Consider the following 21,604-nt stretch of genomic DNA (forward strand, 5'->3'; position numbering starts at 1 on the left):
TGAGTGAAACCTGGTTCTCACTTTCAAGGAGTTTAGAATACAGCCTGCAGCCTTAAACATATTTGAACAAGTACAATACTTGCAGATACTAAAAAAAATTCAGAGAGCCCAAAAGTTGTTAGGATAAGTTTCTCATTCATCCCAGACTCCCTAGAACTTCCCTGGAAGCCGCCCTTTCTAACAGCTTCTTGTGTCTCCCTTCCAGAAATTCTCTATACTGCTCATTGATTGGCACTGAATGCTTCTTGCTCAGATTTATCCAGAACCCAGCAGGGAGCTGAGAGTGGGCTGGAAGCCCCTGCCACATGAAGTCTGGCAGGCCACAAACTGTGAGGGAATTGAAGGTCTAAAGCACACAGGACATTGGCTTTGCGGTCAGATGGGCCTGGGTTTAAGCCCCGACTCCCTCGGTGACTGGCAAAGCAAGCCAGAAACACAATTTAACCTGCTTAAGCTGCCCCACCTGTAATCAGGAGATAAGAATACCTACTTCAGGCTGGGCGAGGTGGCTCACGCCTATAATCCCAGAACTTTGGGGAAGTTCTGCCCTGGCCAAGGCGGGCAGATTACTTGAGGTCAGGAGTTCGAGACCAGCTTGGCCGACATGGTGAAATCCCATCTCTAACAAAAATACAAAAATTAGTCAGGCATGGTGGCGGGGAGCATGTAGTCCAGCTACTTGGGAGGCTGAGGCACAAGAATCGCTTGAACCCAGGAGGCGGAGGCTGCAGTGAGCTGAGATTGCACCACTGCACTCCAGCCTGGGCGACAGAGCAAGACTCCGTCTCAAAAACAAAAACAAAAACAAACAAAAAGAATACCTACTTCAAAGAGGTCACCTGAGATTAGCAATGCTGTCTGTGATGCACCCAGCACATGGTGGGTGCTCCCTTGTGGTAGCGAGTATTAGTTTGCCTCCTGTACTTGTCTGCAGCCTCCTTCCTGGCATTAGCGTTTCAGTGTCTGCTCCCAACTCTCCTCCCTCCTCTACCACAGACCATTTTCTCCTGAATGCATGCCCCTGCCCCATCTCTCTCTCTCTCTCTTTTTTTTTTTTGAGATGGAGTCTCGCTCTGTCACCCAGGCTGGAGTGCAGTGGCACAATCTCAGCTAACTGCAAACTCTGCCTCCTGGATTCAAGTGATTCTCCTCCCTCAGCCTCCCAAGTAGCTGGGACTACAGGCATAAGCCACCAAGCCCAGCTAATTTTTGTATTTTTAGTAGAGACGGTGTTTTGCCATGTTGGCCAGGCTGGTCTCGAACCCCTGTCCTCAGGTGATTTGCCTGCCTCGGCTTCCCAAAGTGTTAGGATTACAGGCGTGAGCCACCGTGCCCAGCCCCCTGCCCTATCTCTTATCCCCAGCCTCTCCCAACTATGCTCTCTTCCCTTTCTCTTCCACCTGAACTTTTGTAAGCGAACACCTTATTATGTGCCAGGAGTTGTTCTAAGTACCCTACATTTGCTAACTTATCTAGTCCACATGACAAACCTATGAGGTATTTACTGTTTTATCCCCATTAGATAAATGAGTACGCTGAGGCCCAGCAGTATTAGATAACTTGTCTGAGGTCACAGACAAGTGGCAGAGGTTGAGCTGGGACTTGAGCCCAGGCAATTGGGCTTCAGAATCCACGCTCTCAACCAATACACTCCACCCCTCCTCCCCAGCATTCCCATTCGCCACAGGCCAGCCAGCAAAGGACACATGCAGGACCTAGATGGGCATGCAGAAAGATGGAAAAAAAAAATCACACAGCCCCACAGAGACCCGTGCCAGCAGCAATCCCCAGCCCTGCGCAGGTGAGAGGGCAGAAGCTATGTCATCTTTGGGTGCCCATGAAGACAATCTCAAAGAATCATTTGGAGCAACTGTTGACTTTGTAGAAACCAAGCAATGATTTGGGACTGTGTGCTGGAAACAGGGGGCTGGCAATGGGTTGGGGTCTTAGAGGACCCTCAGCTCCAACTCCCCTGCTCTCAGTGCCCTGCCATATCCCTTCTCTAGAAGCTCCCAAGTCCCTCTAGGACTCTCTCATTAGCGTCCCAAAGCAAGCTGCACCATTTCTCTGTATAGGCAGAGGAGCCAGCTGCCCATCAGGGCAGAGGCTCAGCTGCCAGGTGAGCCAGCCGGGATGTCTGCCTACCCAGACGAAGGCCTCCATCAGTCCGAGGCAAGAGGACAGAGAAGCTCCTGCACACCAAACAGGAGGCTGGATGTAAGGGTGGCAACAGTGAGCATGCCTCTTTCTCCGCCACCTCAGGGCAGCTGGGGCCCTGAGGCAGCTATTTTTAGCTCTTGACACCTGGGTATTTTGCAGCCGCAGGATGTCCGGTTTGGAGTCTCTTTCTGGGAATCCCACATGCGGCTGTTGTAAACAGCCCCACGCAGCAGTGGCCTGAGCTGGGAGCCAGTGTCGCCCCCCCACCCCACCTCCACTTCTGCTGTTTGAGATGAATCAAACAGGAAGCAGATGTAACCATGGCAGCAGCGGCTTGAGCTCCCTGGGGGTGGGAAAGCATCCTCCCTGGTTCTTTGTCCCCCACCCCAGATCCCCAGCTCCACCCTGTGGCCTCTCCTCAAGGATGAAGACCTGGCAGAACCTGAGGCCGGGGAGCTGGGCCATTCTGAGTTGCGTATGGCTGTCGGTTTCTGGGTCTGGCACTCTCTGGAGACCCTTGCTGTCCTCTGACAGAGAAAAACAGGGGTCCTCCCAGCCCTGTCCAACTCCCGGGACCTCTCGGGCCACCACTCAGCCTTCCCTGCAAGTCCATTGTGAAGGGGAGGGCATAGCTACTTCCTGCGGTGGCAGGCCTGGAGGGCCTGCATCTACTTCCTATTACCCATGGCCTTCAGCTTATAGCCTGGCCTGCCCCTGCACTGCTCTGCCCACTTAGGGAATTCCTGAGCCAGTGGGCTCCCCTAGTCCACACTACCCTAAGATTTCTCAGTTCCAAAAAGCCCTCAAAGACATAAGTTCCACATTCATCCTCACTCCTCTGCTCCAGTATCTCCAGTCCCTGAGATAGGAAGTTCACCATGATGTCTAACTACCATCTTTCCTATCATAAGCAAAACATCCTGAGCAGGCAAGATTTGAGGCCCTATCTGTAACATGGGGATAAGTCGGCCAGTTTCTGCCTTCATCTCTCCCCTTCGCCTTTACCCCTCTGGTGCCCCACTTAGACCAGTTGCTCCTTTAGCAGCCAGTGTGAGCCAGTCTTTCTCAAGGGCCAGTGTTTGCCCCAACAGGAAGCACAGTCACCGCCCCAGGCTGCCTCTAGGGGCGGCTCCTTCTCCCCTCTGAGGTGTCACACTCATTCCCTTGCTCTCCTTGTCACCCCAGCTCCTGGGCCCTCCTCATGCAGACCCTGCCCCTCTGTGTACCCTACTCCTGCTTTGCCCACTGGTTCTGCCTCTCCCAGCTGCAGGCCGAGCGAGATGTGCCTTCCTCACTCTTCTCACCTGTGCCACCCACAAGGCCACGCAGCCCATTCCCAAGACTGCCAGGGAAATGTTTAAGTTACAATATCAACAATAGTTATATTATTTTAATTAATTAATAATATTAATAATGATCAACAATCATGTGTTAATGCTTACTGTGTGCTGGCTATTATCCTAGGCATTTTTGGCGGGGGGAGGGCAACATCCTCCCACTAAGCGATTTTTATTTATTTATTTATTTTGAGATGGAGTCCCACTCTGTCACCCAGGCTGGAGTACAGTGGCACGATCTTGGCTCACTTCAACCTCTGCCTCCCGGGTTCAAGTGATTCTCCTGCCTCAGCCTCCTAAGTAGCTGGGATTACAGGCGTGCGCCAACATGCCTGGCTAATTTTTGTATATTTAGTAGAGACGGGGTTTCACCCTGTTGATTAGTCTGGTCTCGAACTCCCAGCCTCAAGTGATCCGCCCACCTCTGCCTCCCAAAGTACTGGGATTACAGGCCTGAGCCACCACACCAGGCCCCCACTAAACATTTTAATTGTACTATTGCAAGTAGTCCTCACAACTCTGTAAGGCAGATACTGTTTTTTTGTTTGTTTGTTTTGTTTTGTTTTTGAGACAGAATTTCACTCTGTCACCCAGACTGGAGTGCAGTGGCACAATCTCAGCTGACTGCAACCTCTGCCTCCCGGATTCAAGTGATTCTCCTGCCTCAGCCTCCCAAGTAGCTGGGATTACAGGTGCAAGCCACCATGCCCAGCTAATTTTTGTATTTTGGTAGAGACGGTGTTTCACTATGTTGGCCAGGCTGGTCTCAAACTCCTGAACTCACTGAATCCACCCACCCTGGCCTCCCAAAGTGCTGGGATTACAGGCGTGAACCACTGCGCCCGGCCTATATACTGTTATTATTCTCATTTTGCAAATGAGGAAACTAAGGCTAAGAGAGGTTCAGAAACTTGCTGAGGTCACACAGATGGTATGTGGAGCTGCTGGGACTCCAGAACCTAAGCTTAGCATCGGTACACTGGCGTGGACTGCTTACTCAGCCTGCCTCCTAGTAGTGGCTGAGGTGAGACCACCAAGGGGACAAGGGGATGCAAGACACAGTGAGGCCCTAGGGTATGCTCCCAATGCCAGCCTGTTCCCACAAAGTGTGCTGTGTTCCACCCCTGCCATCCTCAATTCCTTTTTCATCTTCTATTTCCCTTCCTTTTTAAATGTACATTTTACCATTTTAAAGTGTACCATTTAAACACTTTACAGTGTTTCCTGTTAGCTGCCTCCAGCAGGGTATAACTAAACAAGCAAACCTCCCAGGGCTGCCACAGAGGATCAAACGCTGCGTGAGCTCTCTGGAAACTGTCAAGCCCTCTACAAAATGCGGGTTGCATAACCAGAGCAAGTCACCCTCAGAGTGGGTACTCGGGGGTAAATTCTCTTGGGAGGAAAAGGTCTCTCTCTCTCTCTCTCTCTCTCTCTCTCTCTCTCTCTCTCTATCTCTATCTCTGTCTCTCACTCACGGGCAGGCCTTGGGCAGGTGGAAGCGCTGGAAGCACCCACAAGTGCAAAAGGGAGCACCTACCTTCAGGGCCACTTTCTGGGGACTAGGAACACAGCCGCACGGCTATCAGCATCCCTGGATCTGGGGCAGAGGAAGGCAGAAGCCACAATGGAGACCCTGGTCTGCACTCAGTAAGAACCAGGCAAACCGAACTGAGGCATCTCGGATGTGAATAGCCACAAGCTGTGAATCCTGACACTCACAGGGATGCCACATTAACATTAATGACAGTAAATACCCTAGAGGTCCCATCCCAGTGGTGCCCTAGAATCCCCCTCCTTTTGCCTATTACTTTGGAAGACAGCAGAAGTCTAGTGGGCAGATTCTCCACGTGACCTGATTCCCTTTTGCAGCCAGGCTGCCCTTGAGACTTGGTTGAAGGGGTTTTTCCAGATCACAAATCCAGCTAGGGTGCTTACACTGCCTTCAGGTCACTCAACAGACAGATGGCATGGTCCTGGGTACTGATTTGGACAAACCAGCTGTAAGGACAATTTCTGGCCAACTGGGAATTCCGTTAAGATGAAAATTTACTGTAATGGAAGGTGGAAATCACTGACTGAAAAAACAGTATATGCAGAGTAATCTCATTTTCATAAAAATTACAACACATAAAGACACATACGGAAATGGAAAGATGTGCAGTGATCTCTGACTGATGCGTCTGTGATGTTTTTTATTTTTTAGTTTTTGCTGGTCTGTCCTGTCTGAGTATCCACAATGCACATGGACTGCCTCTGTAATAATTACGCAGCATATATACGTACATAGACACAGCCCATGGTAGCAAAGTCAAAGTGTGACCTCGGGCTCCCGTGAGCATTAGTCCACAGGGTTTTCACCGCCCCCGGGTCTTCTTGGACCATATATCCTCTGAGGTTCCGTGTTATCTACAACCTAGCGTCCTCTGCCCCTCCTGAGTCTCGCCAAGGGCCTATAACACAGAGCTGGGCACAAAGTCAGGACTTACTTAATGAATGCCTTCTGGCTGAATAATGATCATTTCCTGAAAGAAATGCCTCATGCCTCTTCCAGAGCCGCTGTGCTGGGAATACTCACTGCTGACATCACTGACCTGCCCACCCCTCCTCTGTTCTTCATAAGAGCAACAAGGGAAGGGCTAAAATAAAGTTCACCCCAGCAGATGCTGGCAAGGTACTCCACATCAGGGCCATCAGGGGCAGCCCCATCCCAGACCCTCCCCAAGCTGGCACAGCAGCCCCTCTCCAGGGCCAGCTGGCTTCAAGGCCCTGGGGTCCCTCCTCGCCCTGCCTCACTGGGAGAGGCTGGGAGAGGGAGTGAACAAGAGAAGCAGGGGTCCACCCTATGACTTCTGGCTACAGCTCTCTGGCTGTTCCAGGCCGCGATGGGTGGAGGAATCTGGAACAGGGATTTGGCCTGGTTTTTTCTGTGAACTGGGGCTAGGCCCAGTTTCTGTTCTTCGTGTCTGCAACATTCCCTATCCCTGACCTTCAAAAAATATGAACAATAACATTAATAATGATGATGAATATTCAGTGAGCCCTGACTTCATACCAGGCACAGAGCTAACTTTATTTACATTATCTCCTTTAATCTTCATAGCAACTCCATAAAGTTGAAACTGTAATTATTTTCACATTACAGATGAAGAAGTGGAGGCACAGAGCAAAATGTGCCCATAATCACACTTGCAGGAGAAACCGAGACTCAGCCAAGGCCATCCCATTCCTCCCTCTGCGTCCTTACAGGAAGCTCTCCTGCCAGGCTTTGCCATATATACAGTAGGGTCTAAGGCGATAATTAACATCTGTAGAGTGCTTTAAGCACTAAGTGGGGCACAGAGAAAAGCCCCACTTGAAACTAGGAAATCGAGTCTCAGAGCCATCAGCATCCTTACTCAAGATCCCACACCTTTCGACTAAGATTCAAACCCAGATCTCTGGCGTCAGAATGGCACATTTCTTCCCTATTATCACACGATGCCCCTGGCTCACTCTCAAGGCGGCCCCGGCTGCCTGGAAGGGAGAGTCACACCTCCTTCAGCGCTGGAATCTGGGGGGCGAGGCCTGCGCTCAGCCCCTCGCCCGGTGGGGGTGGGGTGCTGCGCCAGCACCTCCTCAGCGTCTCCGCCGTGACTCACTCCCGGGACCCAGGGGAAGCACAGCCCTGCGCTGCGGGCAAACATCGTCCGCCGCCCGCCCCGCCTCCAGCTCCCCGCCTCCACATTTGCTAACCGAAACAAGGCTGCTGCTATTTTTAACCCTCCAGCTCCCCCTTGCCTGGGGCTCCCCCCTTCACCTCCCCACCCCCCGCCCCAGCCGGGTGCCACCAGCCTGTCATTCTGAGAGCAGTTCTATAACCTGAACGCGCCTGGGAGGGCGCAGCGGACGTCCCGGACGTGCAGGTTTGTGGGGCAAGCAAAACAAGACGGTTACAGCCCAATCGCCGAATTCCCCCACCCCAGACTCTTTCCGAACCTGTCACTCCCAGACTGCCCTGCTCCTCCTGCCATTCTGGGGGTTGGGGTAGAGGGGAATGGGACTTCTGGGCTGGGGTCACCTCAGGAGCCAGAGCTAGGCTCCTTGGAATGGGTCCTGCAGGGAGGAAGCTGAACTGAAGGGGATTGGAGTTCCCCTACGGATCCCCAGGGTGAGAGGCTGACCCTATAGGCCCAAAGCTTCTGACCACCAGGGTTTACAATCCCTGCAGGCAAGATGGAGGAAAAAGGAAGTGGTGCGGAGACAGGGTGGGGATGGTGAGCTTAGCCCAGGGCCTTCCTGACGAGGAGAAGTCCCCTCCCCATCCTGCTGTGGGGGCTGTGGAGCTTGGGCGGGAAGGCCTGGGAGTCGGGAAGAGCACTGAGCAGCCTCCAGAGAGGCCCAGGGTGGAAGGCAGCCTTGGCAGTGTGCAGGGGGAAAAGCGGACCTGGAGTCAGGGCTCCTTTGACACTCAATAATCTAAGGCAAGGGCCAGGCAACACCTTCCTGCAGCCTGAAGCTCTGGGTCCCCAGAAAAACCTTCCTGGGAGAAGAGGTTGGAGGTGAGAGGGGCTGAGGCCTGCTGGCCTAGAGCCGGAACCTGACACCCAAGTTGCTGATGTGAAAGTTAACCTCCTGAGAGGGGTGAAGCGTAGAGCTGCAGGTGGACCAGACAGGGGCATTTCCTCCCAGCTGATGTAGAGCCCGTGTCTTGAATCAGCCCCATCTGGCCCTCTGGTCTCAGAGTCTCCCCCAGTTTGGGCAGCAGATTCCAAGGGCCCAGGAGAGACTCTGGAGAGCCCAGCCAAAGGGCCATCTGGGCTCAGGTTTTTCCCGTGTGCCTCTCCTGTCCCAGCCTCCATCCTCCCTTGAGCCCTGTCCTCTCTGGTCCCAACCCCAGCCTTCCTTTCTGGTTCTGTCCTCTCTTCCAGGGCCCAGGTCCCCTCTAGGCCTTGACCCCCTCTCTTTGGTGATTCCTGAGCCAAGTAAAGTAAAGTGGCCACAGAGGCAGCAGGCTAGACCAGAGGGAAGGGACTTGGCACAGTAGTTCCCCAACTGGGGAGATGGCGGAGAAGGGAAGGAGGTGGGAGGAAGGTGAAACAGGAGAGCTCCTGGGGAGATGCTGCCTCCTTCTCAACATTCAGTATGGCCACAGGGCCCTGGACTCAGCCCCATGGAAGAAAAAGGGTGCTCCCCAAGCAAGGGAGTGGCTTTGATCTTGGCCTTGTGCAGCTCCCCCTTCTGCTCTCCCCTCTGCCAACCTTTGGGGCTGCTTAAGGGGAGGAGACTGCCATCTTCCATGCCAAGTGAGAGGCTGGCAATTCAGCTCCAACCCTTAGCCATTGGTCAGCCCAGGGCCTCCACCTGCATCCAGGGAGTTCACAAGCACGGCTCCAGAGGCTCTGATGGCTCACTTCCAACCTGGGGAGGTGGGAGACGGCATCAATGTCACCTTCTTAGGCAGTCCTCCCCTGGCCACCCTATCAAAGGAAGTCCCACCTTGTTATTCTTTATTGCCATGCCCAGTTCATTTCCTTCTTAGGGCTTATCACAGTGTGTAACTAGTCACACATACTCATTCCTTTACTTGCCTACTTGTTCTGTTTGTCTTCTCCACGAGAGTGGAAGTTCCCTGAGGTCAGATGTTGTGCCTGTGTGTTCACTGCATATCTGTACCCAGTGCCTAGAACATTGCAAGGCTCAGCTAGGATCCAGTGAATGGATGAATTGCTGAGTGACTGGCTCAGCAACATGGTTCCCTGGTTGCCAACATTGACCTTTAGGGATGACACTCAACAGTTCCAGGATTTCTCCAAAAAGGAGGCAGCAGAATGTAGCAAGAAGAACAAGGTCAGAAAACAAGAAAGCCAGGACCCCAGAGGAAAGATCAGCCCCAATTAGCACCAGCCCAATCGGGTCCACGTCATCACAAAGTGTAGTTATGAGCACACATGCACACACACACACAGGGGGTACATGGGTGAGCACAAAGTCCTGGACAGGTCTTAGAAGCCTTGAGTTTTCTCTTGGTTCTTCCTCTTAATGGCCCTGTCACCTTAGAGAAACTACATACCTTCTGTGGGTCTATTTCCTCAAAAGAAAAAATGAAGAGGTTGACCCAGGGCAGTGGTCCTCAAACACAGCCTTGCCCCAGGATCACCTGAAGCACCTGTTAAAATCTGGATTCCCAGGCCCCACCCCTCAGATTCTGACTAGTCAATCTGGAATGGGCCTGATGATCTGAATGTTTTTAATTTTGAGACAGTCTCACTCTATTGCCCAGGCTGGAGTGAGGTGGCGCAATCTCGGCTCACTGCAACCTCCACCTCCTGGGCTCAAGCAATTCTTCTGCCTCAGCCTCCCAAATAGCTGGGACTACAGGCCTGCGCCACCATGCCTGGCTAAATTTGTATTTTTAGTAGAGATGGGGTTTTGCCCTGTTAGCCAGGCTCGTCTCGAACTCCTGCCTTCAAGTGATCTGCCTGTTTCAGCCTCCCAAAGCCACCGCGTCCAGCCAGGATTTTTTTTTTTTTTTTTTTTTACAGAGTCTTGCTGTCACCCAGGCTGGAGTGCAATGGCGTGATCTTGGCTCACCGCAACCTCTGCCTCCCGGGTTTAAGCAATTCTCCTGCCTCAGCCTCCCGAGTAGCTGGGATTACAGGCGCGCACGCCACACCTGGCTAATTTTTTGTATTTTTAGTAGAGACAGGGTTTCGCCGCATTGGCCAGGCTGGTCTTGAACTCCTGACCTCAGGTGATCCACCTGCCTCGGCCTCCCAAAGTGCTGGGATTACAGGCGTAAGTCACCGCGCCCGGCCCAGGATCTTTATCTTTAACACATTCCCCAGGTGACTCTGAAGCAAATGGTCCAGGAACCCGCATTTGAGAATCCCAAATGAGATGGTGTTTTACAAGCCAGCATCTGGACTTCTATTAAAAAGCCACTCCTGCCCAGATATATACCCCCAAAAAACATGTCCATACATATGGACATGTTTACCCCACACAGGGCCATAACCTGAAAAGGTGTGCACCATACAGATGATGCACATCTGTCTTTTATGTGTGCATATTCCCAAAACACCCAACACAGAACCACCACATAGATCACAAATTGCCCGGAACCACCACATCAGCATACACAGGGTCTGGGGGGAGGGGTACACACACAGATACCCACCACGCACCCAGTGTGTGCTCACACACATCTCATGCAGACCCACACTAAACAGACGCTGTCCTGAATTTATTTTGCCTCTGGGAACTGGTCCAGGACCAAAGGAGCTATGCTCTGCTGATGAAAACATCCCTCCCACCTCTGCCACCCCCACCCCTGCCCCTTGCCCCAGGCAGCATGCTACCCACCTCTCCCTTGTAGGAGGAGGGAGACTGGAGGAGGGCAGTGGGGATGGGTTGGGAGGAAACAAGAGGCTAGGCCAGCGACTCAAGTTGCTCAGGGCCCTTCCGGGCGTCCAGCTCCCCTCTTTCCCTCTCCCTTCCCCCCAGAAGACGCCAAAGGGCCTTCCCCCAGCCCGCGAGTCCATGCTCACTCAGGCCACTCGCCTAGATTCCCAGGCCCCTGATCCTAGGGAGCCAAAAGGGTTAGGGAGGTGGCTAGATCTGGGGACTCCTCCTAATACTCAGGCCTCTAAGGAAAGGGCTGTCTGGGGGCACCTTCCTGTAGCCCTAAGGCCTGGGGCCTCCAGGGAAGGTTACCACAGAAACAGGGGGAAAATATTACAAGGAAACACAATACCCGGCAGGGTCACCTGCTGACCGGGCTTCCTGCTGTGTTGCCCACCCCCAGCTCACTGCTCTCACAGCCTCCTTCTCCAGCCTTGGCCTGGGCCTCCTCACCAAGGCTCTCCTTCCTGCCTCCCCAGAGCTGGGAGAAGCAGTCTTAAGCAGAAACTCTGCCCCTCCGTGGTTCCAAACAACAACATCGAGGATGGCCCAGAGCTGAGCCCCCCACTCCTAATCCTTACCAACCCCTCCTCACCATCACCACAGGAAATCAAAGCTTCCTGCCCCAAAGGAAGTGCCCCATCTAGTGAACAAATCCAACACACACAAATGCACAGTCCTGGGAGCCTCCGGGAGGACAGATGCCCTCCCGCTAGCCCCAGACTTTATTCAGGCCCTGCTTCCAGCAATACCCCACACCCCACTGGAGGCCTCAGTCCGAAGTCTAACTGAGGGCAGGCCAGGGAGAGCCAAGCTGTGGAGGGTGGGCCAGCAGAATGGGCACTGGCAGAGTGAGAAGGCCTGGTTCTGGCCCCCTCCGCCTGCCATTCCCTGGCTGTGTGACCCTGGGCCTTGCATTAGCTCACCTTCTCTCAGGCCCCTGCCGACTTCAAAATTACCAGCCCTTAATGAAAGGCCAGGAGAAAGAAGGCAAAGAGGAGATGGGGTTCCACAGGCTTCTGTCTTCCAAGTCCTTGGGCATGCTTGCCCACAGCTACCAGAGGGTCCCCACTCCCTACCCCATCACACATGAGTTTCTCTCTTGCTCAAGGGTTTTATATCAGAATTGAGAAAGTTCCAGCTTCCATGCCAAGAGGCCACCAAGGACTAAAGCTGAGGTCCATTATCCCTAAGCAAACTGGAGGGGGTGGATAATAGCACAGTACCTTCATTCTCCTCTCCATAGTCAACCTCTTCTGCTCTGCTCTGAGAAGTGTGCTTGGAATTTTCTCCCCATTTTACTGATGGGGAAACTGAACTTCAGTGTCAAAGTGGAGTGAACAGCTTAGACATGCAAACTTCCCTGCCCCAAAACCCACTGTAAGACCCGGTGGCCACAGAGACACCCGCCGAATAAGGGACACAGAGGCCTCTGGAGAACACTGCACCAGGACCATTCCAGGTGCAACATCAGGAGGCAGCTCTGAGCTTGCCTCTGAGCCTGGCCCTGCTGGGCAAGGAGGGACATCAGGGGACTAAAGGCAGAGGACCAGTCCCAATAGGTCCAAGACCTGGTTCCAGTCTAGGTTCACTGGGCTGGGTACCACTCACTGGGACTACTCTGTGCCTTAGTTTCCCTCAGAAATGACTGCAGAGAAGAAGAAAATGACTTAATAACCCATGGGTAGCGGCAGCCTAGCAGCCTATGGAGTCCTGGGAGGGGGAAAGGGCCGCCAAAGCGTCTCATTGGAGGGCAGGGACCTGAGTCACAGTCTCCTGCCAGCCCTATAGCTGAATAGGGGTCCTGAGGAAGGTCCCACAGGTCCAGATGCAAGTCCAGGGAACAGGCTGAGAAGTTGATCTTGAGCTCCCAGCAGGGCCGCTGAGGGCCGATGCCCCATTCTCACCCTAGAAAGCGGCAGGCAGAGCTGGGCCTCAGGCAGATGTTGCCTAGGGGAGTGGGCAGGGAGCGTTGGCAGCGAGACAGCCAGTGTCCAGATGCAGGGGGAGGCCTTTGGGTGCGCAAGACAGCCAGCGGGGAGAAGGAGTGAGGAGCAGCCGTGGCTGGGGAGGTCAGACCCAAACGGGCAGCCACAGCGGGAAGCAATGGGGGTGGGGCACTGGGTGGCCTGCGGGCCCCAGAGGGCTCTCTCCTGGCCCACAGGCCTAGAAACTCTGGTCGTGGGAACCCAGCCCATCCGCCAAATTTGCCGCCTGCTCTCACACTCCCCAACACCAACAGACCCCAGGCCTGGGGGGTGCACATCCTGTCCCCCACCCCTCACACAGCCTGCGGCGCCCCGCTTCCCGCGCCGCTGCCGGCATTGACCTCCACAGCTCACCAGGGCACAGGTGTCTCTTCACCCTGATGGGTGAGCAAGGATGGGGGGCAATGCTCAGAGAAACCTCCCAGCCAGAGACCCCTCCAAGGGACCTCTTTCCCCGCCGAAGGATCTGAGTAGGGCCCTGCCCGGCTCCACGGGATGGGGGCGCTGATGTCCAGCCCCACAAAGCCCAGCCCCAACTCAGTGGGTCCTGCCCTTTGCCCTCGCGCTTCCAAACCTTCCGCCCCGGAGCACCGCCCCCTCGCCGGGCCACCGCGGCCGTCCCTCCCTCCCCGGTCCCTCGGCTCGTCCTCCCCGGGAACAGGGGTGATGGGACGTGGGGCCCGCACACCGGCGGCCGGGGCCTCCAACTCCCTCCCTTGGGCCTGTAGCTGCCCCGGGGCGGGCGGATGTGGGCGCCCCGCGGGAGGCCCGAGCCCTCCGGCCCCCGGAACCAGCTCCGACCCGGAGCCTGCCAGAGCCCCGCGGAGCCGGGCGGGACAGGCGCGGTCGGGGGGCGCAAGCCGGGCTGGGCCCGCGGGGCTGGCGGGAGCCCGAGCCGGAGCCGGAGCCGGAGCCGGGGCCAGGGCCGGAGGCCGAGCCTGGGCGGGCGACGCTGGGTGCCGCGCGCAGGGCGGGGCGGGGGGCGGCCGCCCAGTACTCACCAGCGCCGGGGCTGTGCATCCAGGGGCCGGGGCCCTCAGAGCGGGGGGCTCATGGCGGGGCGGGGGGCTGGGGCGCCGGCCTCACATCCCCCCAGTCGCCGGAGGCTGCAGAGCGACTGTGAGACGGCGAGAGGAAGGGAGGGGGCCGGGAGGGGGAGGGCCCTGGCAGCCCGGCCGGCCGGGTAGGATGACAATGGAAGGAAATGCTTTATCTGAGTCTGAGAGCGGGCCAAGGGGGAGGGGAGGGAGGGGGCAGGCGCTCGCGGCCCTGGGACACACCACCCCGGCAGACACTGCACCGCGCGGCGCACAGGCGGGCCGCAGACACCGCGCGCGGCCAGATCGCGGCGGGGCGCGGCGCACTGCCGGGGAGGCAGCGCCGAACCCGGAACGCCGGCCGCGGCTCCGAGCCCCAGCCGCCGCGAGGCGCTCCGAGCCGTGCACAATTCCCGGAAACCCAGCTACCTGGGCGCACGCACCCTCGCATACACAACGTACACGAGCACGCATCCATGTTTACAAGGGGCAGAATCATTTACACAGCACACACTGGGGCTTCGGGGTGGACCCCCGTGCACACACTACATACCCGTACAGCCCACAAGCACGCAGCCACACGCGGGCACAGTGGGACACGCGTGGTGTCCCATGTCCCATACAAGGAATCCCAGACGGACACCCCCCACCACACACACACACACATAAGCACGACTTGCCTCAGGAAAGTTCCAGGATCTGATTTGAATCACTGCCCAGCCCTCCCCCACTGGCACCCCCACACACACACCATGCCTGCTGAGGGGAACGGAAGGGTCCAGCCTGTTCCTATTAAAAGAAAAAGGGTGTGGGGGTGGTGCAGATTTTGAAAGTTTTCTTTTTTTAAAGAAATTTCTCAAGGGACTTCCTTCCCTCCTCTCCTCTTCCTCTCTTCCTCCCATTCCTCTCCCTCCACAACCCCCCTCTTTCCCCCTCCCGGTCCCTATGAGTCAAACTTCAGCAATGTGCCCAGTGTCCCCCAGTGCATTACAGCGGATCACAGAAATGTTCCAGTCTGTGAGTCGGAATGCAGCCGCCTCCAGCCCTCCCTCAGCTAATAAACTCAGCTCAGGGCCGGCTTTAGGCAGTGGCCCTCCCTGCCTCTCCCTCCGCTTTTAGCTGGAGAGAAGGTCAGATTCAGGGGTCAGGGGCTAAGGACCTCGCCATTGTGCTTCCTGGGCTAGCCGGTCAGCCGTGTCTGCCTCCAGCAATCTGGAGCTGCTCCTAGGAAGGGGAGAGGTCCACCACGCAGGAACACTGGGCTCTCTGCAGCGTGAGGCGCCACCATTGTAAACCAAGGAGCAGCTTCCCCTGACCCCATTCTATCTCCCGCAATCCTAAGAAACCCCAAGAATCCAGAGAAGGAAAAATTGAGGCAGCCCCAGAGGTGGAGTCATGTCTGATTGGAAGCAAGAGCCCACAGTGGCCTAGGAGGGCTTGGCCATGCTGGCGGTGAACTTCAAACCATAGATTCTATTCCCTTCCCTCAGGCACAGCTCGGGACTCACTATCTGTTGCTACCGGCATATTCAGCGTGGGACTTCTTACTTCAGCCCCTTTCCTTGTCCCAGTTCTCCTTCGGCAGGCAGATCCAACCCCTCTGCGCTTGTTAACTTACCCTCCCAAAAGCCTTTCCTGGCATTCAAGTCCTCCTACAACCTGGCACCACACTCCATACACATCCCTGCCCAGTGCCTCCTGGTACTTAGGGCTCAGTAGTGTTAGTCACTATTATTACTATCATTATTTCTGCCAGACTGGGCTGCTAGCTGCTTCCCATCCTGTCCTCACGCTTCCACACTCCCTTGCCTTCGCTCATCATGCTGCCTCCAAAAGAAATGTCCTCCCAGCCCCTTTCTCCTTCTGTTGAAATCTTTCCAATCCTCAAGACCCACTCCCTATCTAGTGGGAGGGAGGGAGGGAGGGAAGGAAGGAAGGAAGGAAGGAAGGACTGGAAGAAAAAGAAAGTGGCATACCACTTTCTCCGGGAGGCTTTCCCGGATTCCCATAGCCAAGAGGAATTCTTCCCTGAACTGTGTGGTCTTTATACATTGACCTTCGCCCACCTAGTCTACTTGTCTCAACTCTCTTCCTTCCAAGAGCATTCAAGAGTGGATATCCCTGAGTCCAGCTACTGCCTTGGTCATGGGTGCATTTCTTGTAGTGTCTTGCACAGAATTCAAACTTGATGTGAGTTATTTGTTGAATTGGGACAGATGTTCATGACTTTCAAGAACCCTTCTCCAGCTGGACACCTACAGTACATTCTTTCACCCCATAACTACCCATGCTGACTCTCCAAGACACATGCTGTTCCACCTTAGGTATGTCATCCCCAGCCCTCAATTCCAAGCCAGATCATCCTCCTTCCAAATGCCTCTTTGGTGTCCACAGACTCCAGAAAAACTGCTTGGTTACTGCAGACCCCCAGCGACATGCCTGCTATCTCCCTTGTCTAGCTCCACAATTGATCCCAACCCCCAACACACACATATCCGTAGCTTTTCTGTAGCTATTTCTGTAGTAAAGCCAGGCCCTTTTATGCTCATTTCTACCATGTGCATTGTGCATACATTTATTTGTGAGTCTTCTTTCTCTTTTTAAACTCATCACTGAGTTTTGAGTGATCTGAATTAAGAGGCTATCTCCCTGCCTGTCTGTCCACACAGTGCCCAACATGTGGCTTTCTACACACCAGGACTCACTGCCTCCAACATATAGTCAGAGAAAAAGACAGCATGTGCAACCTGCATCTGGGAAAGCTGGACTGTGTCTCTCCTTCCCCTGCCAGATTTACTTACCAGACCCCGCCTCATGGCAGAGTCCTAAGCCAGTTTCTAAGTCACATGTCCCCTACCAGGATAAATTAGAAAGCCTCCAAGAACCTTAGAGACATGAGACAGAGAAATGCAAGCTACCTCTCTCTCTTCTAGCCTGGTTACCGTGGGGAGCCTTTTTTTAAAAAGCTCTTGAGTCCAGGCCTCTCATAGCTTTCTCAGCTGAACACCTAGCAGAAGAGACTGGCCCCAAAAGACGTGCCTTGGCTTCCTGAGCCTTCCCTAGAGTCTCCGGCCAGCACAAAGCCTGAGGGCACCCCAATCTGCTTCCCTTTGGGACTCTGGGCCTACTTGACCTTCTCTTCTCCTTTTCCTCTCCTTCTTTCCTTAGTTAGCTACTGTTTACCATTTACTGCGTAGCAGTCCTTGCTATCCCCTGGACAAACATTAGATCATTTATTCTTAACAATAATCCTTGTTATGCTCATGAGTAAAGCATGGCCTTTATGGTTAAGAAACCTGATCAAAGTTGCACAACTAGTAAGTGACAGGGCCATTCATTCATTCAACAAATATTATTGGGTGCCTACTTTGTGCCAGGATTTAAAGCCCCAGAAAATTATCCAAACTTTCTGATACCCTCCGTTCCCAACCTTCTAGATGTGGGGGCCATAGCCACAATTCCTCCGCCAGCCTGCACTTATCCTCACACACTTCGCACAAAGCCAACCAGAAAGTGCTCCTTCCCCAAGGCCTCAGTTCAGTGAGATCTCAGTGGACACTCATTGTATTGGGTTAGTTTGGATCTTGCATTTCAGTTTCTGGATCTGGAATCAAATGCCAATTCTCAGGGTTTGGGACTTGCAGATTAGTAAGGGAGATTAGGTCCCCAACTCCAAATAAAGGGTTTCATGGGACCAGACATAAGAGATATAAGAAGTACGGGAAGGAAAGAAGAAAGGAAGGAAGAAAAGGAAAAAAAGGAAGAAGGGAGAAAGGAAGGAAAGAAGAAAGGAAGGAAGAAAAGGAAAAAAAGGAAGGAAGGAAGGAAAGGAAGGAGGGAGGGAAGGAGAGAGGGAAGGAGAGAGGGAAGGAAGGAGTGGAAGAAAAAGAAGGAAGGAAAGATAATTTAGGATTTATTGAGCATGTTCTACATATCGCACGCTGTTCAAAGCCCTTTCACTTAAATCTCATTATTATCCCCATTGTTTCCATGAGCAAAGTAAAACTCAGAAAGACAAAATGATCTGCCCAAGGCCACAGAGCCAGTAAGTTACTTAATCCCAAGTATGTCTGATTCAGAGCCTGTGCAATTTCCTAGCAGGTCAAAATAATGAAGGACGCATTGCCAGGGTCTCCTGTTCCAGTGTAGCCTGCTTCCTTGAGGTCCCTGTACATCTCATTCCAGATGCCAAGTTTCTGACCCCAGCCATGTGGTCTCATCCCTGTTTCCCACCTTTCTCTGTTGCACTGCACCAGCAGAATCAGGGGAACCGTATAAGTATTCTGAGTAGGGTTGGGGGTGTGACTTTGGGGTACAGGCAGGCAGACCCCTATCTAGGATGTCAGGATCTGAGAGAAGAGGTGCCAAATCCTTCTGGGCCAGAATTGGATGGCTAGATCAAGAAGAGGCTACAGTGTGGCTATAAGTACCAGGGTCTCAGGTTGGGAGGGTAGATGACTGTGGGGACTGGGGCAGGTGGAGAGAACTAAGCTGGTCCCTTCCCCTTACCCCCATCTCCCTACAGAGTCAACAAAGGTGATGTGGTTTCCCCTGTGGTCTGTTGCCCTAGACACCTGCAGTTCTGAATATACATGTATGTGTCTATGTGCCAACTATGTGGCAGGGGACACAAGGAGAAAGCACTGGGACAGGATGGGGAGGGGCAGGAAGCCAGACAGTCTCCTCAAGCCCAAGACAAAGAAGGTACCATGAATGAAAAGACGGCAACGGTCACCCCCTTGACTATGCCAGGTCCCCAGCCAGGAGCATCAGGAGAGAGCTAGAAAGGAGACATTGTGGGGATCAGGAGCCTGGGCTGGGAGTCAGGGAACTTGAGTTTTAGGCCCAGCTCTGCCATTAACTTCCTGGGTCACACCTTTCTAAGTCTCAGTTTCCTGCTTTGTAAATAGCAATATCTTGGCTACTTACCTCACAGGGCTGGCCTGAAATCAGATGAATAATACATGAAAAGATTTGTACCACTGTGAGTTTTAGAATTATTTTCCTGATGGCATAACAAATATTACAATTGCGTACTTTAGCTCCTGGATACACAACACAACAAGAGTGTGGAGATAAGAACATTAAAAACAAAAACAAAAACAAAGCACCTGCCCTTCTATTGGTCACAGAGCGTTGAGGAAACAAAACAAACACATAAAATACTTGAAAGCCTCTTGCAAAGCCAACTATTTAAAAAATCTCACTGTGTGATCTTGGCCAAGTCGCAACCACCCTGGGCCTCAGTTTTCTCATCTGTCAAATGAGGGGGCTGCTTTAGATCATCTATATTTATTTTTCTGAGTCTAAAGCAGTTTTCTGATTCTATTATTCCAAGCGCAAATGAGTGCGTCGCAAAGAGGGAAGACCGGAGCACATCGGGACAGAACACGGCCTCCATGAAGCTGGCAAGTGTCGGTCAAACTGGGTTTTGAAAGAGCCCAGAGATGTGAATCAGAGTGGGGAGAGAAGAGGGGGTGACATTCCAGGTAGGGAGAATGGCATGTGCAAGGGCGAGGCAAGGAAGCAGAGGGTGGCAAACAGATTAGCCAGGCTCAGGAATGAGGTTGGCAGGATTGGAGGGGCCTGGGGAGGAAGTCGGGAAAGGAAGAGTAGAAGGGGGCAGTCCCCAGGACTGAGTGGCTAAGATGTGAAAGTGGGGGAGGAATATGGGTGGGGAGAGACGCTCTCAGCCCCAGAGTTTGGTGCCAAAGCCTGTGGAGCCAAACTCCACCCAGGAGAGAGGGAAAGCAGGGTCCCCTTGCCAAGAGGCCCCACCCACCAGGGAAAGCCCTTCCCTCCCTACCCTCCTCTCCCAGCTTCACTCCCAACCCTGAGGTAAGCGAGGCCCCGCTTAGGCCAGAACCTTGTTCATGGCAGAAACACACAGATGGGCAGGTGCCACATCCTTCTATAACAATAATGCCAGCAGCAAAATAATAATAATGATAATGATAATGATAAAATAAACTACCCATCACCTGCTCTCTGATAAAACCCCTCAGCAGCAAAACCTCACGATGTACCCATTCCATTTACGAGAATATTTGCTCCCAAAAGCTGCAAGTGTTTTATAAGATTATCTAGTCTCTAGGATCCCCTAAACCTAACACTTTATCAAAACCACGTAGGCTGGGCGCAGTGGCTCATGCCTGTAATCCCAGCACTTTGGGAGGCCAAGGCAGGTGGATCATCTGAGGTCAGGAGTTTGAGACCAGCCTGGCCAGCATGGGGAAACCCCGTCTCTACTAAAAATACAAAAATTAGCCAGGTGTGGTGGCACATGCCGGTAATCTCAGTTACCCAGGAGGCTGAGGCAGGAGAATTGCTTGAACCCAGGAGGTCAAGGTTGTAGTGCACCACTGCACTCCAGCCTGGGCGACAGAGCAAGACTCTGACTCAAAAAATAAATAAGTAAATAAAAACCACTTGAAAGAACCTGTGAAAAAAAGATTCCTGAGTCCCATCCCCGACCCCATCAGACTCTTTGAGAAGGTTGGATAGTACCCAGGAACCTGCAGCACCACAGGTAATTCTAAGGTGTGGTTAAGTTTGGGACTCCCTGGTCTAATCCAAACCATTCCTTTTACAGATGAGGAAACGGAGGACATGAGGAGGACGTAAATTGCCAGAGATGACACGGTTAATCAGGGCCAGGGCAGGCAGAGAACTCAAGCCCCAGGGTTTCCAGGTCAGCGCTCCTTCCACAGCCTGGGCTGCCCAGCCCAGAGATGCCTGTGCCAGCAGAGATTATGGTCAGGGAGGCAGCCACTGGGCCATACTCTAATCATGAGTGAGAAGAAATTCGTCTGAGTTGCAAAATGCCTTTCTGCAGCCAGCTCACCATTACTTGCTCCACTGGGCCCCTGCAGGGATGCTGTGGTCCTCCCACTGGCAGGCTTCAGCTTCGGCCTTGCCATATGCCCCAACACAACCCTCCAGTTGCCCCAGGGGCTATATTGGCTGGTCAACAGGTTCCCACTTTACTACAAATCTCAATGCTTCTTCTTTGGAAGCACATACCTCTGACTCCAGAATCTCCAGGAGAGACCCCTGAGAAGGTCTTGGCCTGAAGACACTCACCTCTCTTTCCCCAGGAGTGTCTTTTAGGGTGAGTTTGGATTATGCACCTGTGAGTCAGGAGACTAGAGGCAGGAAAGAGAGCAATGAGCTGAGGGTGGCTAAGCTGGGAGGTGAGCGAGGGTGCCCTGGCTGAGACCTTGAAAAACTCCACCCATGATGATCACCATTATACTCCTCTTCATCAACACACATTTGTTGAGCATCTACTCTTTGCCAGGCACCGTGTCAGACTCTCAGGCACAGAGGCAAAAAAAAAAAAAAAAGCCACAGTGAGGAATTCATCACCTCCTGGGGAGCAGGATACAATCTAAGAACAGAACCTGGAGTGGAGAAAACGGTTGGATGAGGGACTCGAATAACATATGCTGCAAAGGAGAGGGAGGATTCAGAGTCACCAGAGTTCCAAGCTGGGAGACACCTAATGGATCCTGGGATCAATGTGGGTTGGGGCAATAGTTCTGCCCTCACCTGCTCTCCTTTGTGCTTGGGGTCTGAGGAAACCCAGAACAGTGATTCTAGAAATCTCTGCCTCAACAGATCCCTCACTCCAGCTTGGTCTAAATGGCTAGGGGTGGGAAGGCAGAGGAGGCAGAGACAATGTGCAGACATCTCCCTTGGG

The 21,604-nt window shown here is 53.5% G+C and overlaps 1 protein-coding gene across 16 annotated transcripts in view, besides 12 other annotated features; it reads right to left on the bottom strand.

Moving 5' to 3' along the window:
* Positions 1 to 15,444, bottom strand: part of HDAC7 (histone deacetylase 7) — a 38,623-nt gene extending 23,179 nt beyond the window's left edge. For 7 of the 16 annotated variants that reach the window (NR_160435.1, NR_160436.1, XM_047428983.1 and 4 more), the window contains exon 1: positions 13,867 to 14,003. Coding sequence is in view for 13 of the 16 variants with exons in the window: in XM_047428983.1 (XP_047284939.1) it covers positions 13,867 to 13,885 (19 nt within the window). In the remaining 3 variants the exon portion in view is untranslated. Of the gene's footprint in view, positions 1 to 5,034; positions 5,054 to 7,029; positions 9,754 to 13,866; positions 14,004 to 14,653; positions 14,820 to 15,410 lie in introns of those variants that run through there. The other 9 variants (XM_047428979.1, XM_011538481.2, XM_011538480.1 and 6 more) reach the window with 7 other exon arrangements.
* Positions 3,032 to 3,101: an enhancer, noted in NCBI's record as "active region_6264". NCBI's record gives its function as "activates an Ori minimal core promoter by ATAC-STARR-seq in GM12878 lymphoblastoid cells {active_cell/tissue: GM12878}" and the evidence as "EXISTENCE:reporter gene assay evidence [ECO:0000049][PMID:35858748]".
* Positions 7,122 to 7,311: a silencer, noted in NCBI's record as "silent region_4400". NCBI's record gives its function as "represses an Ori minimal core promoter by ATAC-STARR-seq in GM12878 lymphoblastoid cells {active_cell/tissue: GM12878}" and the evidence as "EXISTENCE:reporter gene assay evidence [ECO:0000049][PMID:35858748]".
* Positions 7,892 to 7,941: an enhancer, noted in NCBI's record as "active region_6265". NCBI's record gives its function as "activates an Ori minimal core promoter by ATAC-STARR-seq in GM12878 lymphoblastoid cells {active_cell/tissue: GM12878}" and the evidence as "EXISTENCE:reporter gene assay evidence [ECO:0000049][PMID:35858748]".
* Positions 7,952 to 8,031: an enhancer, noted in NCBI's record as "active region_6266". NCBI's record gives its function as "activates an Ori minimal core promoter by ATAC-STARR-seq in GM12878 lymphoblastoid cells {active_cell/tissue: GM12878}" and the evidence as "EXISTENCE:reporter gene assay evidence [ECO:0000049][PMID:35858748]".
* Positions 11,198 to 11,307: an enhancer, noted in NCBI's record as "active region_6267". NCBI's record gives its function as "activates an Ori minimal core promoter by ATAC-STARR-seq in GM12878 lymphoblastoid cells {active_cell/tissue: GM12878}" and the evidence as "EXISTENCE:reporter gene assay evidence [ECO:0000049][PMID:35858748]".
* Positions 11,554 to 12,214: an enhancer, noted in NCBI's record as "H3K27ac-H3K4me1 hESC enhancer chr12:48211237-48211897 (GRCh37/hg19 assembly coordinates)". NCBI's record gives its function as "activates a minimal SCP1, AML or CMV promoter by ChIP-STARR-seq in naive H9 embryonic stem cells {active_cell/tissue: H9 hESC(naive)}" and the evidence as "EXISTENCE:reporter gene assay evidence [ECO:0000049][PMID:30033119]".
* Positions 12,932 to 13,505: an enhancer, noted in NCBI's record as "H3K27ac-H3K4me1 hESC enhancer chr12:48212615-48213188 (GRCh37/hg19 assembly coordinates)". NCBI's record gives its function as "activates a minimal SCP1, AML or CMV promoter by ChIP-STARR-seq in naive H9 embryonic stem cells {active_cell/tissue: H9 hESC(naive)}" and the evidence as "EXISTENCE:reporter gene assay evidence [ECO:0000049][PMID:30033119]".
* Positions 12,932 to 13,723: a biological region, named in NCBI's record as "H3K27ac-H3K4me1 hESC enhancer GRCh37_chr12:48212615-48213188".
* Positions 13,414 to 13,723: a silencer, noted in NCBI's record as "silent region_4401". NCBI's record gives its function as "represses an Ori minimal core promoter by ATAC-STARR-seq in GM12878 lymphoblastoid cells {active_cell/tissue: GM12878}" and the evidence as "EXISTENCE:reporter gene assay evidence [ECO:0000049][PMID:35858748]".
* Positions 13,734 to 13,813: a silencer, noted in NCBI's record as "silent region_4402". NCBI's record gives its function as "represses an Ori minimal core promoter by ATAC-STARR-seq in GM12878 lymphoblastoid cells {active_cell/tissue: GM12878}" and the evidence as "EXISTENCE:reporter gene assay evidence [ECO:0000049][PMID:35858748]".
* Positions 13,954 to 14,293: a silencer, noted in NCBI's record as "silent region_4403". NCBI's record gives its function as "represses an Ori minimal core promoter by ATAC-STARR-seq in GM12878 lymphoblastoid cells {active_cell/tissue: GM12878}" and the evidence as "EXISTENCE:reporter gene assay evidence [ECO:0000049][PMID:35858748]".
* Positions 14,844 to 15,765: an enhancer, noted in NCBI's record as "NANOG-H3K27ac-H3K4me1 hESC enhancer chr12:48214527-48215448 (GRCh37/hg19 assembly coordinates)". NCBI's record gives its function as "activates a minimal SCP1, AML or CMV promoter by ChIP-STARR-seq in naive H9 embryonic stem cells {active_cell/tissue: H9 hESC(naive)}" and the evidence as "EXISTENCE:reporter gene assay evidence [ECO:0000049][PMID:30033119]".

This window comes from Homo sapiens, chromosome 12, assembly GCF_000001405.40.
Source record: "Homo sapiens chromosome 12, GRCh38.p14 Primary Assembly".
In the NCBI taxonomy this organism is placed as follows: domain Eukaryota; kingdom Metazoa; phylum Chordata; class Mammalia; order Primates; family Hominidae; genus Homo; species Homo sapiens.